General features: G+C 50.8%; 1 long non-coding RNA gene across 1 annotated transcript in view, besides 2 other annotated features; it reads right to left on the bottom strand.

Moving 5' to 3' along the window:
* The window catches only part of LOC105373611 (uncharacterized), a 241,632-nt gene that overhangs the window by 129,550 nt on the left and 94,284 nt on the right, over window positions 1-17,798 (bottom strand). The window lies entirely within an intron of this gene.
* Window positions 10,455-10,514: an enhancer, noted in NCBI's record as "active region_16513". NCBI's record gives its function as "activates an Ori minimal core promoter by ATAC-STARR-seq in GM12878 lymphoblastoid cells {active_cell/tissue: GM12878}" and the evidence as "EXISTENCE:reporter gene assay evidence [ECO:0000049][PMID:35858748]".
* Window positions 13,303-13,803: an enhancer, noted in NCBI's record as "H3K4me1 hESC enhancer chr2:129258456-129258956 (GRCh37/hg19 assembly coordinates)". NCBI's record gives its function as "activates a minimal SCP1, AML or CMV promoter by ChIP-STARR-seq in primed H9 embryonic stem cells {active_cell/tissue: H9 hESC(primed)}" and the evidence as "EXISTENCE:reporter gene assay evidence [ECO:0000049][PMID:30033119]".

Below are 17,798 nucleotides of genomic sequence, written 5' to 3'. Positions count from 1 at the left end.
ACAAAATCACAGGCACAGCTCTTCAACGCGGCCACAGGCATCGGAGAAGCAGCTCCCCCGGGACTGGGCAGCAGTGGGTCCCTAGCTGGTCTGAGGGCCCAGCAAGGTGAGACTGACGTGAGCCAGCCAAGCAGGGGTGGAGGTGGGAGACACAGGGGGTGTCTTGAGAGCACAGTAAGCAGTGCCGTGTCTGATGTGGGATTTTACCATCAGGCCTCAGGAGAAGATTGAAGAGTTCTAAGTAGGAAAGTGACGTGATCCGATTTGAGTTTTGAAAAGATCACATAAACCCTGCTTTGTGGAGAGGGGATTAGAGAAGCAAAGTAATCTATTCAGGTGAGAAATGACACATGGGGACCAGGGCAATGTCAGCAGAGATGGAAAAAGCTGGTAGAGCCGAGAAACCAGAGGCAGGTGACCCACACAGGAGATGAGTATGGAAGGAGGGGACTGGGCTGAGAAGAAATCCTGGGTGTGGGGTGCCCTGTGCTGAGACAGGGAAGGCAAGGGAAGGGAAGGGCACCATTTAGTTTAGACATAACTCACCCCAAGAGGAAGTGGGGCCCAGTCCCACTCTGCAGGGCTCCTTGCTAGAGGAAATGAAACTCGGTCATTCATTCAACAACGGGGAACTTAGAACTCACTGGCAGTGGGCACTTGGCCAGGTCCTGGGTCCGATCCATAATAGTGAGCAAAACAAAGTCCCTGCACTTAAGGGAGCTTACATCTCATGGGGGACCCAGGCAATAAGTAGGGAGACGTGGACAGATTGGGGGTACATGTGAAAGCAGAACCAGTGGGACTTGCTGATGAGCTGGATGCAGAGAGTGAGGGAATAAGAGGAAGCAGGACAATTTCTAAGATTCATCATTGAGAAACTGGGTGGACAGAGGTGGCTCACACAGACTTGAGAAAGACTGGGAGAGAACAGATTTCAAGGGAAAAATTAGTGATTAAGTTTGGGGCACGTCAAGTTTGAGAGATTTCTTGGACATCCAAGTCATGGGATCAGGTAGTACCTGAGCTCCTTGGAGGGCCTGGCACACACAGGCCACAGTGCTGGAGGTCACGTGATGGATGGGCTGGCCGGGGAGATAAGACGAGGGCCCACAGAGTTCGGGAACCTTGGGAAGATGGAACAAGTCTCACCGAGTCTGAGAAGGAAGGGGTAAGCCACACAGAATGGGGTCACAAAGGCCTTAGGAAGGCTACGTGTGTCGTCACCCAGGGTGATGCTGCTGAGGGAGTGGGGAGTGTGGATTTGACAATGTGAGGGTTCAAGGCCAGGGTCATCGGTAGAATGGCTTGGGAGGAAGGCCATGGAGCAGGATGCAAGACAAAGAAGTGGTGAGGAATTAGAGACCACGCCAAAAGCAGCTCTCGTAATGTGACTTACACAAGGGATGATCATAAAACCAATAGAGAGGCATTTTCATTTTCACAATTCAACTTTCAGTCCATGCCAGATGTTGCTGCTTAGAAAGAGGATACCCAAGAGAGGAGCCCAGTGCAGGGCAGGGATGTTGAGTGTGGCCTCAGGACCCATCTTTCTTCAGGGCTGGGGCTTCTTTTGGGGTCGCCCTTGGCTAAACACCAGCGTGATTGGAAACTTGGAAACCCAGGGCATCTTCACACCCAGTGAGGGCCTGCCAGCCCTGAGTGTGGCTCCACTGCCCCTCCCTGAGCTGGGCTCTGCTCACAGCTCACTGGCTCTCACCCAGCTATTTGTGCATCCATTTGTTTAAAAATTCTTGCTGAATCCAAGGATTCAGGCCTGAATTAGACCTCATTCTTGCCCAGGAGGACAGATAAGGAGGCAAAGAAGAACATGATAAGCTTTGGGGTGGCGGGGGCATGAGGCTGCAGCGACAGGGGAGAGCCTGTGCCAGTCCTGTCTGGAGCAGATGGGCTGGGAGCTCCTCAGGGGGAGGCGACTCAAGTGCCAGCCCTTAACAGCCAAAGGCAGTCATCCCAGTAAAGAGGGCAGTGGATCCCAGGGCTTAGCAGGTGGCAGAGGAGAAATGCCTTGGTTGGGGGCCAAGCTGGCCCTGGGTCTGGATTACGCATTTTTCACTTTTCCATGTGTTTCTCTCAGTAGTCCTGGGAGGTTAAGAGAACCTGAATTATTCACTGTGATTAGCAAATGATTAAACCGAGGCCCAGGGCCGGCCTCACCACCATCTCAGGCAGAGGCACAGGATTGGGAGCCATGCTTACAAGTGCTTACCAGCACTGGGCTCTTTACACACACGGCCTTCTTTGCTCTTCTGGCTTCTTGCAGGAGGTATCTCTGTGGGACAAGGGAGGGAGGTGAGGCCCAGGAGACCACACTGCAGTGATAGGGAGGTCAGGCAGGGTCTGGGAAAGTGTCCCTGCCGCGTACCACCCCCAGCTCAGAAGGGGGCCTGAGGCCTGGGCTTTCTGAGCCCTATTGACCGGGGGAACAGGAGCGAACCCTGGCTCTCTGGAGACGCCTGGAGCCTTGGTGCTGACAAGGCAGGGACTAACCCGGAGCCGCAGCCAGTCAGCAGAACAGCAGCTGTCCATGGCCTGTGGTAAGGGCCCATCTACCTGCCCCTGGAAGTCAACATCATTGAGTCTCTCTCCTTCCTGCTCTGCCAATCCTAGATTATCTAGGACTTGACGTCCCTCAATGGCTCAGTCTCTCCAAGCCCAAGGAGTGACCCAGAAGGGCCCCCTAGGCTGCATCACCACCTTGATAGAGTTGGATAGTTGTCCCTGCCCACATCTCAAGTTGAATTGCAATCCCCACGGTGGAGGTGGGGCCTGGTGGGAGGTGATTGGATCATGGGGATGGATTCTCACGAGTGGTTTAGCACCGTTCCCTTAGTGCTGCCCTCAAGATAATGAGTGAGTTCTCCCACGATCTGGTTGTGTAAAGTGTGAGGCACCTCACACACACCCTCTCACTTGCTCCCACTCTGCTTTGTAACATGGCTGCCCTCCTTTTGCCTCGCACCATGACTGGAAGCTTCCTGAGGCCTCCCCAGAAGCTGACGCTGCCATGCTTCCTGTATGGCCTAGAGCACCATGAGCCAATCTGACTTCTTTTCTTGATAAATTACCCAGTCTCTGGTATTTCTTTATAGCAATGCAAGAACAGCCTAATACACACCTCCTCTGGGTCCAGGAGGTAACACTGTGCCTGGGAGGTGAGCCCCACTTCCCACAGGCCCCAGAGGTCTTGGCGGCAGCAGGGAAGGCAGGTCCTATCTGGAGACCAGGTGAGAACACGCTCCAGGCTCCCCTGAGTCTTTCATGGGCAATAAATGGCCTGAAGAGCCTGGGCCTTCCCTGCTGTGATCCTTTCCACCCCTGCCCGCAGCTCAGGAACTCCAGCTTCACCTGGAGCAGCCTGCAGATCCCGAAAGAGCAAAGAGGAAACACAAAATGTCCCAATGACAGCCACAACACCATTCTCTATAAGGCAACCAACCCACCTGCCACCCTGCCAGCTCCAGCTCCAAATATGCCCCATGCCTGGCAGTGTCTGGAGGAGGAGGCAGCATCAGAGAAGGCTGTTTCCCAGACAGGAGAAACTGCAGCACATTGGCATGTGGTGGGAATGAGCCGATAGCAAGGGGGAAAATGATGATGCAGGAAAGGAGGAAATTGGGGATCCCTGCCCTAAAATTCCTGGCATGCATGCTGAGGTTCAGTCTCCCTCCTGGCACACAGATGAACCAGGCCCAACATACACCATTGCCAAGAGTCCTCTCAGCCAGAGAATTCTTGAAGAGCCCCAGATGCAAGTAAGTGTTCCTTGAGCTGAAGAAACCAGAACTAGAAGATGCAGTAACCTTGGGACCCAGGGCTGTGAGTCATCAAAGCATAAGGCTTACTCGAGTTTGGGAGAGGATATATTTCCTTTCTTTGAAAATATTTCTTGTTGTGTTCTTAATTTTTTAAAAAGTCAGCTCATGGCAGCCACTCAATAAAAATGTAAAACAGACTGAGTACAGTGGCTCATGCCTGTACTTCCAGCACTTTGGGATGCTGAGATGGAAGCATTGCTTGGAGCCAGGAGATCAAGACCAGCCTGGGCAACATAACAAGAACCCATCTTTACAAAAAATGTTTAAAAATTTTCCAGGCATGATGGTGTATGCATGTAGTCCCAGCTACTCGGGAGGCTGAGGCGAGAGGATTGCTTGAGCTTAAAAAATCTATAGAGAGAGACAGAGACAGAGAGATTGAAATCAAGCCCAGATGCCAGATGGCTTTAGGGTGAGTTCTAAAAAGCAGTCAAGGAATAAATAATTTCATTATACAAACTATTCCAATGCGTAGATAGAACGTTAGCTCACTAGAAGTCTAGAGTAACTGTGAGAGCAAAACTAAACAAGGATAATACTATACAAACAGGGAAAATTATGGGCCAATTATACTCATGAACATAGATACCTATATCATAAATAAATTATTAGCAAACCAAGTCCAGTGATGAATAAATACAAAAATATATCATGATCAAGTTGCTCCCAGGAAAGCAAGATTGATTTACTATTAGAAAATATATTGATGCAATTCACCACTGCAATTGTTAAAATTAAAGAAAGGGAATGAAATAATAATTTCCAGCTGGGCACAATGGCTCACACCTGTAATCCCAGTACTTTGGGAGGTCAAGGCGGTTGGATCACTTGAGGTCAGGAGTCTGAGACCAGCCTGGCCAACATGGTGAAACCCCATCTCTACTAAAAATAAAAATATTAGCTGGGTGTGGTGGCAGGTGCCTGTAATCCCAGCTACTGCTTAATAATAATTATTATTATTATTTCCCTATAAATAGACTTTTGAAATTTAATGAAAAGACCTCTTCACGTACTAGGAATAAGAGCAAACTTCTTTAACTCGATAAAGTCTGTGTCTCGAAATCCAGTGAAAAAATCATACTTAGCACTAGCATAACTTATTTGAAGTCAAAGACAAAAGTATCCTCTATAACTACTTCATTTACTATTGTGCTCGAGGTCTTAGCCAGTGCAATGGGAAAAGAAAGTAAAAGGATTAGAAAGAGAAAAACGTATTTTATTATTTGCAGATAATGTGATTTATGCACAAAAAAAAAATCTAAAAGAAAAGAGTCTAGCAAGTTCACTGGATATAAGATGATGATGATGGTGTGTGTGTGTGTGTGCACTCATGCCAGCAACATTACATTTTAAAATGAAAATTTTTGAAAGTACGACTTCCAATAACAATATAAATTATAAGTACTTAGGAATAAAGTTAAGAAATTTGTACAAGACTTGTACACGTTGTTGCCCTGTGCAGCCATGAACTTTGTACACTGCACAACTCCAGGGGGCATCACTAGACTGAGATACACAATTTGCACAAGTGCAGCCATGCCTTTATAGAAAAAGTTCTAAGAAATCATTGAAAAAATTTAAAATAAATGTAAATACATAGGTAGTTTTACCATCCTCTTGAGATTTAGCATCATAAAGATATTGGTTCTTCCAAAATTATGCTATAAATTAAATGCAATTCAAATAAAAATTCAACAGCCTATTTCATGGCACTTGACAAAGTGATGATTTTGAAAAATATCTGAGAAACAAAGGGCCAAGAATACCAGCAAAATTTTTAATAAAAAGAAGTGGATAGGAATATTTATCCCATTAAATATCAGAAGTTATAATAAAGCTATAATCATTAAAGCAGTGTGGTATTGACCCAGGAACCATCAAATAGGAAGGGGGAACAGAATAAAAAGCCCAGAAACATATCCACACATATGTGGAAACAATGTGTGAGCTGGCATTAAAAATAGTGAGGACTGGGCAGCACGGTGGCTCCAGGCTGCAATCCTGAGGTGAAGCAGGAGGATCTCTTGAGGCAGGAGTTCGAGACCTGCCTGAGCAACGTAGCAAGCCCTAATTTATATCTATATAACAATAAAAAATAATTAACAAAATAAAAATAAAATAGTGGAGACAGATGTTTCCATAAAGGAAAATATAAAAGCAGATCTTCATTTTGTACCACATACAAAAATCAGTTCGCACTAAAATAAAAATCTAAACATGAAAAGTAAAACCTTTAGGAAAAAATATGGGTAAGCATCTTTTATGGTCTGGCTACGAAGAAGGATTTCTTGAGGAACACAAAAAGGACAAGTCATAAAGGAAAAGGTTAATGAACTTGACTACAGTAAAATTTGTAAGTTCTTTTTTTGTTTTTTGTTTGTGTTTTGTTTTGTTTTGTTTTGAGACAGGGTCTCACTCTGTTGCCCAGGCTGGAGTGCAGTGACATGATCTCGGCTCACTGCAATCTCCCAGGTTCAAGGGATTCTCCTGCCTCAGCCTCCCAAGTAGCTAGGACTACAGGTGCGTGCCACCAGGCCCAGCTAATTTTTGTATTTTTATTAGAGATGGGGTTTCACATGTTGGCCAGGCTGATCTCCCAACTCCTAACCTCAAGTGATCTGCCTGCCTTGGCCTCCCAAAGTGCTGGGATTACAGGCATGAGCCACCATGCAGAGCCAAAATTTGTAAATTCTATGAATGAAAGATATCAAAAACAAAATAAAAACACAAGCTCATACTGAGAGAAGATATTTGCTGCTTAATAACACACAGTTAGTAGACAACATATATAAAGAATTCCCACAAATCAAAAAGAAAAAGACAAACAACCCAATTTTTTCAATGGGTAAACACTGTGAATGAGCAATTCATAAAAAGAGGAAAACCAAAAGAAGGAGAGCCATAGGAAAAGATGTCCAAGACTCCCCAGTAAAGGCAGGTGTCCCTGGGAGGCCCTGGTGTACCTCAGCCTCACACTAACTTCTCCAGGTATAGGTCACCCCAAGAGCCCTGATGGGAAGCCCAGAGATGAGTGAGCCAGCCCTCCCTTTAGGACCTCACATTCTGAAGGGAGAGAAAGAGGCATGATCACCCATATCCCTGCACAGAACATGCCAAATGGATATTTGCACGAAGGTTTGTGCACCACCGGGGGGAACTGCCAGCTCCACCAAGGCATTTAAGGAAAAGGCCCCTGGAATTGGGGAAATTCTAGCTTTCAAATCCTAAAGCAAATATGACATTTGTGACATAAATTGCTTTCTACTATCTAGTTTTCAAAACCACTGGAAGAGAGAAAATCACCATGGAGTAGCAGAGAGAGGCTTGGACAGAGAGATCAGAGAAATCCTAATTCCCCTACCAGCTGCTCCTAATATGCTCAGGTAATCCTGGTCTATCACCTACTCAAAAGTCCAGCGTAGATATCAAATGGGCATCTCAAACTCAACCACCCAGGACTTCAGCTCCTCAATCTTCCCCCACCCACTTGGCCTGAACCTTGCCTGACTCCACTCCATCCTTCCCATCACTCAGGTCAAAACCTTTAAGGTCATGGTTGACTCATCTGCTCTAATGGATCAGAAAATCTTGAGAGCTCACTATGCAAAATATATCCAGAATCTGGCCACATCCCTCCACTGCTAAGGCCCTGGCATGAGCTACCACCACCTCTCACCTGGATTATTGTAGTAGCCACCCAAGGATTCTACCTGCCCCACCCTTGCCTCCATACACAGCAGTCATGTGACCTTTTTAAAATAAAGTCCTGATTATAATGCTCCTCTGCTCCAACCCTCCCTGGCTCCCATTTTGGAGGAAAAGCCTAAGTCTTCATGGTGACTTCAAAGCCCCCCACAGCATGGCTTCCCTTGCCCCCGCTACAGCTCTTCCTGCAAGCGCTCTGTTCCAACCACGCTGGGCTCCTGGCTCTTCCTGGAGCACTCAGGCATGGCCCATCTTGGGGCTTTTGCAGGGTTGTTCCCTCTGCCTGGAACATTCTTCCCCCAGATAACCCCATGGCTAACTCCCTCGCCTCCTGCAAACCTTTGCTTAACATCACCTTGGCTTGGAGGCTTGCTCTGACTACTTATACAAAATTGCAAGCTGCCTCCAGCCCTTGCCCAACCCAGAATCCCTAATCTCACCTACTCTGCTGGGATTTCTCAAACATGAACTCCTCCTAACATACTATAGAATGCCCATAGTTGATAATGTGTCTCCTCCCTACTAGACCGAAGCTCTACAAGGGCAGGGATTTGTGTTATTCTGCCCAGTGCCTAGGGCAGTAGCTGGCAGGTGGAATACTTACTGAATTGAAAAGCTCTTAACATTGCTGAGTCCCAGCTTGCCCATCTTCCAAAGCTGAAATCTTTAACCTAGCTCAAAGGTGCTTATTGCTGGAAAGATCAAAGGAAAATGCTTTTAAAATATCTAACACTGTGCAAGAAATGGGTAGGGAGAGCTGCAGTTCTTCCTTTCAAACCACCCTTTAATAAAAGGCAAAGATTGCTGACTAAGCCTTCAGGGGTGGGGATAACACAAGTAGGGCCCTGGACAGCTGTAGGTCAAGCTGGAGGCCCCAGGTCACTTGTGTGGATGGCATCACCTACAGGCATTGGCTACATTTTGTTGAACTCTTGCTCTCATAGAGGTAGAAAGTCCCCTTGCTGGTTAAAGATGTGGAGTGGTGTCCTGGCTATTGGTGCTTCCTCTGCTGATTGCAGGGCCTAAGGACACAGCATCCTTGCCAGTGTCATAGGGGCTGAGAAAGGGTGTTGGCAGGTGTTTGCCGTCACTCTACAGTAGAATCGAATCCCTGTCACAACTGTCTTGGAAATATGATGCAATTGCACTCTCCATGCACAGGTTGCAGCAGGGCCAAGCTCAGAGATGCAGGGTGTAATCTCTCCCATGTTAGTCTGCAACTAATTGATTGTCTTCCCAGCCAGGAGCCAAAGCCATGGCTCACTGTAATTGTGTGAATCGGAAATCCTATCTAGAATCCACTTCCCTTTCCTATTTGTCAAGATCACATTCAGGATAGGCTGTAGTTTCCAGTTGGAATATTGGGCCCCTGCACAGATGGGCTGAAATGTAATCCAGCACTGCCAAGGGCATCCCAAGGGTCAATTAATTTTGCCTTTTCTCAGAGAGGAATTTCCAAGAATCATAAAGTGGGATTGTGCTGGCCCTGGGAGAGGTGCTGAGCCCCTGCCTGGGCTGAGGCGTAAGGTTTTCACCACCATTTCAAACTGAGCTGGATTATTGAGAGACCAAGGAAGCAGCTGCCACCCACATACACAGAAGGAAACTACTACCTTGAAAGAAGTTCCTTAAACCACTGAGCTCCCAGAAAATCTGAGCCTGGCAGTGGTATTGCTGTTGGTCTGAATGGAGGTAATCCCTGCTACAAGCTATGAGCAAGCACCGTGCTCAGAGCACACCATGAGGTCCTTTGCTGAACCTGACAACCATCCTGCCTCCCACCTGTCACCACCTGTCACAGACGAGCACAGATCCCCAGAGAGGTGAAGTGACAGGCTCGGTCACCCAGCTGTTCAGCATCCAAGCTGAGACACAACCGTATTCTGTCTACACAGCCCACCGCCAGAGTGGGGATGCTCCAAATTGCCCACGCCTCCTACCTCCTGAAGGCTCTGGTCCCAGGGGGGTGACTGGAGGGGGAAGGTCTCAGGAGGGGGTGCACACAGGCAAACAGCCTCCTGCACAGTTTGCAGGGCCAGGCCCAGCCAGGATGCCAAGAGGCATAGCAGGCATGAGGAGAGAAGATTCTGGGCTTCCCATTTCTGGCAGTAGAGCAAAGATGCTTTGTAGGCTGTGGCGAAGGCTCAGAGGCCCCCTGACAAGACAGGCTCAGAGGTGGGAGGAGGGGATAAGGGGTCCCCAAGGAAAGCCAAATGCTAAAGAAATCTGAGCCCATAGCCCTTGAGGGTTAGAGAACCTGCAACGTCAGGCTAGAAGAAGGTGGGAGATCATTCAGAGCCACATGGCAAATCTCCAAATACCAAGAACAGCCATCTTCCAACAGAATCAACAGCCTGTCCATTCACACTGGCCAGGAGAGCCAGTCCCGCTGCATTTTCTCCTGTGCCCACTGAGCACCTGCCATCCAGCCCTGCACTGCCCTGGACACCCTAAGATGACCACCATCAGCCAACCTTGGGGCTCCTAGTCTGGGGTGAGGAGCAAGGCACACCGCTAATGATTCCTGTGACAAAGAAGGAGGCAGAAACAGGTGTGGCCTGTCCTAGGGGAGCTTGAGAGGAGGCATCCTGGGGGCAGTGGAAGCAAGGTTGGCTGGGAGAGGAGCAGCACTGCTGAGCCAGCCTGAAGGCCCCGGCTGGGAGCCGCTGACACCTGTCCTCACCCTCCCCGCCCCCCCCACACACACTGAGAGCGTCAGGCTTGCTGAGCACAAGCTGCCCATAGAACTTCCCCTTCCAACCAGGTGGCACCCAAGACACTTTCTGTGGGGAAACGGTGGCCTTGACCACCCCCGCCACCAGGCTAGGGCACCTGGGCAGAGCTCTAATGAGGATTCCCCATGAAGGAGCGGTGGTGCAGACAACTGAGGGACTGCCTGAGGTCACAGAACAGGCACGGCTCCACCAGGCCCCAGGACTCTGGACATGGAGTCACGCTTTGTCTCCCAACCACCCTCGGAGGCAGGCATGCATCCCTTCTCACTGCTGGGAGAGCCTCCGGACTCAGGACACAATGTCACACTCCATCTCCCAACCACCCTCAGAGGCAGGCACGCATTCCCTCTGACTGCTGGGAGGGCCCCAGGCCTGCGGATTCCCACATTTGGGTTGTCTCCAAGGCTGCCCAACTGCTCCCACGGCCCTTGCACATAGCCCCCAGAGGTCAGACAAGGGTCCCCGTGCCTATCCCCTTGGCAGACACTGGCACTGGCCTGGCCTACACTGTTTTTTGGGCCTGGGCTGGCAGTGGCCTGGCCAACATCACCTTAGCTGCTGATTAAGGCCACGCTGTACCCAGCCCCAAAGCCAAAAATAAACGTGCCTTTTTGCACGAACTAGTTAAGAAGTCCCCTCTGAGTGTGCCAGAATTTCCTTATCTTTCCACAACAGACATTTTTACAGGAAAACTTGAAATGTTTTTCATCCATCAGAATGGCAGGGTGTTGCACAGGGAGCACCATTGCCATGGGCCTGGTATCCGCCCCGCTTTCTGGGAGTTTAGTCTTAAACCTAATCTCCAGTACGCCAAGGAGCTGGCGGCTCCAGCTGTGTTTGTGAGCAAGGTCACCTCGGGTCACAGCTTTGCAGGCTGTTGGGGACCACAGGTGTCGTGTGGTGAGCGTGGGTTCCAGGGTGAGACCCCCTCCTGGGTTCAAATTCTGGTTCTGCTACTTGTGAATGTGGGCAAGTCACTTCACCTCGCTGTGCTTCAGGTGCCACTCTTGTAAAGCGGGAAATACCGAAGTGAAATCATGCATGTAAATCACGCAAAGGTAGATAAATCATGTGTGTGGATAAGTTTGGAAAACCCATGTGCTTAATCAGAGAGTGGGCTCTGGAGTTCTGAAGACAGTCACTCAGCGAAGTGGCCAATGTGAGGTCCCTGCTGGGTGTTCAGCCCCAAGGCCGACCCCGAGCAGACTGGACAGGTGAGAGTGGGAGCTCAGTGTCTGTCCTCCACATGCAAGGGAGGCCCCCGTGCAGCACACTCGCTGTGCTCAACTGGAGCCTCCACGCCCAGATGCCCAACATCGTTGCAGCACTTCCAACTTCAGAGCTCACGTTCTTGCACTAAACCAATGAAGTCTATTTGGGGTGGTGCTGGGACCCCTGGGGACACACTTGCCCCATCACTGCACCCCTCAGGCCGCGATGACACTGGAGGTGTCTCTTTCACCCAGGGGTCTTGCAGGGAATTCTCCTTGTACTCCACAGGCCCAACTGCAGAGCAGTGGTGTTGAACAGAGCAAGGAAAGGGAAAGATATCTCAGTAACTCTGCTAGAAGTCCCCATTCTAGCCACAGGGGCTCAAATGCTGGAGGCTGTCGTTGAGGGAATGCCTGCTCTGTGCCTAGAGCCACGTGCTCAGCCCTGGTGTGAGAAATAAACTCACCCATCCAAACCCAAAGAATAGACTCAGAGACCCGGAGAGCAGTGAAAGTGAGACTTTTAATGACTGTCTTGCAAGGTGGGGTGTCTGATGAGCAGACACCCCCAGCACAGTTTCAACAAGCAATTTATCCCCTAATGCTCAGGTCTCTCCGCCAGTTCCTCATAGGCTGAGTACTATGGGGTCACAATCTTCCCGGACATCGCCTATCGGTTGTTGGGTAGAGGCTCTAGGTGTTTTCTTTAGGGTCGTCCTGCTGCATTTTGTTGCAGCCCACAATACATTGCAATCCTAGTTAGCTCTGGGGCTCTTCAAGTATTTGACTTATGACTTCAGTAGCTGGGCCAGCTGATAAGAACAGACAAAACAAGCTATTTTGCAGGCTAGCAAACTTTCATCTTAGACTAAACTTCTTTGGTTCGAGTGAAGGCAACTAAGGGGGGCCGACAAGCAGGCATTGGCTATCCAAGCAGGGGCCTAGTATATCCTATTTCTTCTGTAGTTTGCTGACCTAAGCCGATTTAAGGCACTTTGTCTTGGAAATGGACCACTATATACATTATTTCCTTCACTGGCAATGGAGGTTATGAGCAGGCAGTATTAACACCACATAAGCAGGGAGAAATGAAGTCCCAGAGGCCGTCACTTGTCCAGATTGGCACAGGGCACAGCCAGAAATAAAAGCCGGCCTGTGAGACTCAGAGGCCCACACTTCTTCCACCAGGCAGTACCCAGCATGTGCTTAGAGCAACAGCCAGTCGGGGGAGAAGAGTGAGCCTGTGTAGCACAGACTGCAGCAGTCACTGGGGAGTGGGAGACTGATGGGTCTCAGGGGCCACCAGGACACCTGAGGGTGCAGGTGAACAGGGACCAGAAGCACACATGGGCGAGTTCAGGAAGGCTCACAGTGGGGCCATGACAGTGTTGTGTTGGTAAATGTTTAGCAGCCTGCAGAGTGAAGGGGGCAGCCCTGATGCAGAGCATTAGCCAATAGCCATGGTATAAATACCCCATCATGATCCACTTCAAGCTTCCAAGAGTTGAAGAACCAGCTTGCAACGTTTCAAAAAATGTGGCAATTGGCTCCAACCAGGAGCTGCGTCCTCTCTGACTCTTGTGAGGCTCCCAGAGATGCTACCAAAGGTGCAGAGCTGGTACACTGGGGCACGGGGCCAGCTGGGCAGATAGAGTCACTGGGGAATGCAGAGGGAAGGGGAGCCCTCACAGCTGGGCTTTGCTGGCTCTCCTCTCTCCTGTGCTGCTGAGAAGGAAGGAGAGGCTGCCGAGGGGCAGGGTCAGCTGCCTCATGGCCCAGGAGCAACCTGCACAAGGTGGCGTGTGCCAGCTGTGCGCTTTGCCTCTCCTTCCCCTGGAGAAGCTTCCACCCCTGAACCAGGGGAGGAAGATAAGGGCAGCCCCAGGAGGCCTTCTTCACACAGCCGGGGCCTCCTTGGGCCCCTTTCTCCTTTTCGTTTCTTGGTCTCTAGTCGGGCTGCTGAAGAGGTGGGGTCACAGGGAGGGCTGCTGACTCCAGGAGCAGCCGCTGAGCCTCCTCACCCACTCCAGGGGCTGCAGTCAGCCTCTCTTGGCTTACTCAGAAACCGTTCAGACATACGAAAAGGCATGAAAACTAGTTCCACAACACCTGTGCATGCAGCACCCAGATCAAAGCATGAAACACCACAGGTGGGGATGGGCACAGTGGCTCATGACTGTAATCCCAGCACTTTGGGAGGCCAAGGCGGGAGGATCATTTGAGGTCAGGAGTTCAAGACCAGCCTGACCAACATGGTGGAATCCCGTCTCTACTAAAAATACAAAAAAACAATTAGCTGGATATGGTGGTGCACACCTGTAACCTCAGCTACTCGGGAGTCTGAGGCAAGAGAATCACTCGAACTCGGGAAGCGGAGATTGCAATGAGCCAAGACTGTGCCACTGCACTCCAGCCTGGACAACAGAGCAAGACTCCATCTCAGAAAAAAAGAAAAAAAAAAAAACCACCACATGCAGGATCAGATGAACCCTCCCCATTCCCACCCCCACCCCATTAAGGTAGCCACTCTCCCAAGCTGGAATTCACCGTCCCACTTCGAGCCTGTGCGGTTGCATCCCTAAGCAATGCTAAGCACTGCTTTGCATATTTTAAATTTTTTCTGAATGGCCAGGGACCCTCTGCAACATTCTGCAACTGCAGCTTTTTTTCATCAGGCTTTTGTAAGGAGACGGCCAGCTGGGCTTGGCTTGAACCCTGCATCAAATCACACAATCCCCATGGCCTCAGTTTCCTCATCTATAGACTGCAGATAGCAGCCCTCCCTGGCGAGGCAGTGGGGAGAGGGCTAGCCCAGACACTGGCCTTCCCTCCCACCCTCTTCCCACCCTCTTCCCTGTGTGGACTGAGGTCTCACTCCACCCCGGTCTTCTGGGCTCCTCTTCCAGGCCGGAGGCAGAGCTGGCTCAGAAGAACTGCCCCAACCTCCGCTCCCCACCCACCCACAGACAGAGCACAGCTGCAAGGCCTCCCAGCCCTTCTTCAGTGGAGAAGGAAGTCAGGGACCCTACTCTCACCACGGTTTCTGTCTTAGACGAACAGAGTTCTTCCTGCCACAGAGGGCCGCTGCCTGTTCTCTTAGCACCCAGGACAGCTTCACTAGCAAGACCCCCTAATGGTCTCTCAGCTGCCCAACACCAGCACCAGCTCAAACCTTTGAGGAATCGCATGGCCTTCGGAACCACAGCCTTCGGGACCCGCCCGCAGTGCCCGCCACCCCAGCCATAACACAGACCCCTGCCTGAGGGGTGTGTGCCCGACCTTTCCCCACAACCACACACACCTCCCAACCTTGGTGCAGAGTCCATCTCATCAGGCCTCCTCTGGCCTCCCAGCTGTTCCTGCTCTCCTCTTCTCCTGCTCTTCACGGTCTACTTCCCTCATGCACGGCTCCCGAGAGAGGACTTGGGGAGCAAAACTAAGGAATCAGGTGACAAGAAGGGTCAGTGGATGATCTCAGCTGGGCAAGCTGACTGACTCCCGTGAGCACCTGGCAGGCTCCTCGGTGGCCCCTGCTGGGATGTCCCTGCCTGTGGCACAGGCCATGCCCTCATAGGATGGCCACTTTCAACTCCTAATCTCACCTGGGCTCAGGAGCCCACCCATCTCCTGAGGTCCTAGGGTCCTTCCAGGACACCCCTGCCTGGTCTTGACACACCGCCTTCACCCAAGCACACTGTGGGTGGGAGGGGAGCTCGTTCCCAAGCAGACCCCGCCCCCTTCATAACAGCCCCCTCCATTAGGTGCCTCAGCGGTCACTAGTGCTGGTCCCTGGATATTTCTGAATCCCTGCCTTCCAGACACACAGTAACATTCCACTTCCATGCCTACCCCCTGCCCCTCTTCAAGGGCATGGCCAAGTGATTTGCATTGGATGGTGACATGGGGACATAGGAGCCATGTGCCATGTCGCTTTTAGAGAAAGCTTTAAGGGCCAATGCACTATCTCCTGCATCGTGGGAGCACAGAGAAGCCTATGGCAGGTCCCTAAGTGACTATGTGAGCAGAAGCCTCCATCTGCCCATGAGGGACAAGGAGCATGAATGGAAAAGACATGCCATAGCATCAAGCCACTGAGTGTCAGGGGTGCTTGTTACTGCAGCGTAACCCAGTTATCCCGGCTGATAACTATCCTACACCAAGCACAATCACACCCCATCTCTTTGTCCTCCAAAACCCAGTGCCTCCACCCAAGAGCCTCTCTTGAAGCCTGCTCTCACTTGCTCAGGGGAGGGCAAGGCACCCTCGCCTCCCCTTTCTGGGAGTGGGGTGGGCACAGCACACAATGACCCCCACAGAAGAGCCTTCTGCACTGAGGGCCTCAACCTCCCACACAGCCCAGAAGCAGGATGTGGACTGATGCATTCCTCAGGGCGTCCTCGTGTGTGGCCTAGCTTCTTGCTTTAGGACACTTGCAGAGCTGGGAAAGAATGACTCCAGGACTCCACGGGGACAGCAGCTGCACCTTCATTCTTTTTTCCCACTGCCCCCATGAACCAAGCCTCAGGCTGCTCCTCCCCAGGCCCTGCTCCCTGGATGAAATCTCAAGCGGGTCCTACAGGTCCCCTGGACTTCTTCATAAAATAAAACATTTTCCTGTCACTTTTAGTCCAAAGCAGCATTACTACCATAATCTTTTGTCAACGTCAGAGCCCTACACTTGATTGAGAGGAACCTCTTGTTTCTCCAGCAGGCCAGGCCAGGAGTCACCCCTCAGGAGGGTGGCCACCTCCAGTGATGCTCAGTTGGATGGGGAATTGAGGGCAGGTGATCAAGTTCTCATCGGGACTGTGGAGGGCGAATAGGGGTCCCTCCGCAGCCTGCATGCCCTCACTCCTCCCCCTGCACCCCATGCTTGGGACCCTGGCTGACAGCCTCTTTGGTGTCACTTTGCTCCCCTCTTCTCCTTTCCCCTTTGAATTTGCATCTGTCACCAAAACCCCCACAGCACCTTACGGGGAGCAGCCTCTATAGTGTTGACGTGAATTGGCAGCACAGCCTGAGACTGGCTTCTGCTTGCTTCCCTCGCAGCAGGGTACGTGGGACCTCACCAAGCAGGAGTCACCGGATGCACTGGACAGGACTGCAGCCTCCCAGCATTGCAAGGCAAGACTGGACCAATGTGGGTGCTGGCCCCTGACCTCAGGTAAACAATGAACTTTACTCAACCCCCACTTGGCTATGAGAATTTACCAATGTCTGCTCAGATGAAGGATTCCTCACCAATTAGCAGAAAAAATGTGGGAGGAGGTGGCAGAAATGAATTTTAATAAAATGTGAACATGCCAGATCCCATGTGTGGAGGATGCTTGTTGGTGCCTCCCCAGCATCTAGATACTCCCTTCCTTTCCCTTCTGGACAGCTCTGCTTGCCACCTGGCCATCCATAGAGTCTCAGAGAAGTGGCTCCTCTTCAGGCCCCAGGCATGGAGCCCATGTCCCAGCCTGAGCCAGTCCACACCCTCGCACCCTGTGACAGACCCAGTAACTGGGGTGGAAGTGGCTGTGGCCTCTGCTTCTCAAGACGGTGACTACTGACCGTGAGCACCAAAACCAAGGCTCCTTCTGGCTGGGCATGAGAGAAGATGTGTACCCACGAAACTGCAGTCTGCCATCTTGGTACCCGATAAGAAGCAGGCCTAGGATGAATCTGACATTGTGGGAGGCAGCATGGAGCATGGGCCTTGTGATAGCACCAGACCTTGGGAGCAAGCCTCACCAGAAGCCCACCCCAGTCTGGGCTTTTCACTTGAGTCAGTCAAAGAAGCCTCTCTGTTGATTCAACTAGTGCAATTGATTTTGCTGTTGCTTGTGATCAAAAGCAGCCTAACAGATACACTATTATGCATTTGAAAAGGGTGGCATTTAGGATCTGGATGGATTTGCTTCAAAAAACAAAAAAGGTGGCAGGCCATGGTGTGGTATAGACCCACTGGCATAAGGTGGGGTAGAAGATGGGGAGGGGGAAGGATTTAAGCAAACTCTTATAAGCTAATTGATTTTTATTTAAGAACTGCAAAAGTCAACATTTGCAGGGGCAACTCTCTTGACCCTAGAAAAACATTGTGGCATATGCAAATTTGATTTGAACAACTGGGTAAATATTCATTCAATTCAGGATGCTGCCCCCCTTCTCCTCAAGGAGGATCAAGCGCTTGTTTGCTCAGCCACTGATCCCCCCAACTCCACTGCATCCTCTCAACACCCCTCCAAGCCCAGACAGTGGAGGGGGCATGGCATCAGCCCTTCTCAAGGACCCCCCTATCCAGGCTCTATCCACATCCATCTGGCCAT

The sequence above is a fragment of the Homo sapiens genome, chromosome 2, assembly GCF_000001405.40.
Source record: "Homo sapiens chromosome 2, GRCh38.p14 Primary Assembly".
NCBI classification, from domain to species: Eukaryota; Metazoa; Chordata; class Mammalia; order Primates; family Hominidae; genus Homo; species Homo sapiens.
The sequence above is the reverse complement of the archived record's forward strand: the minus strand, read 5'-3'. Positions and strand labels throughout refer to the sequence as shown.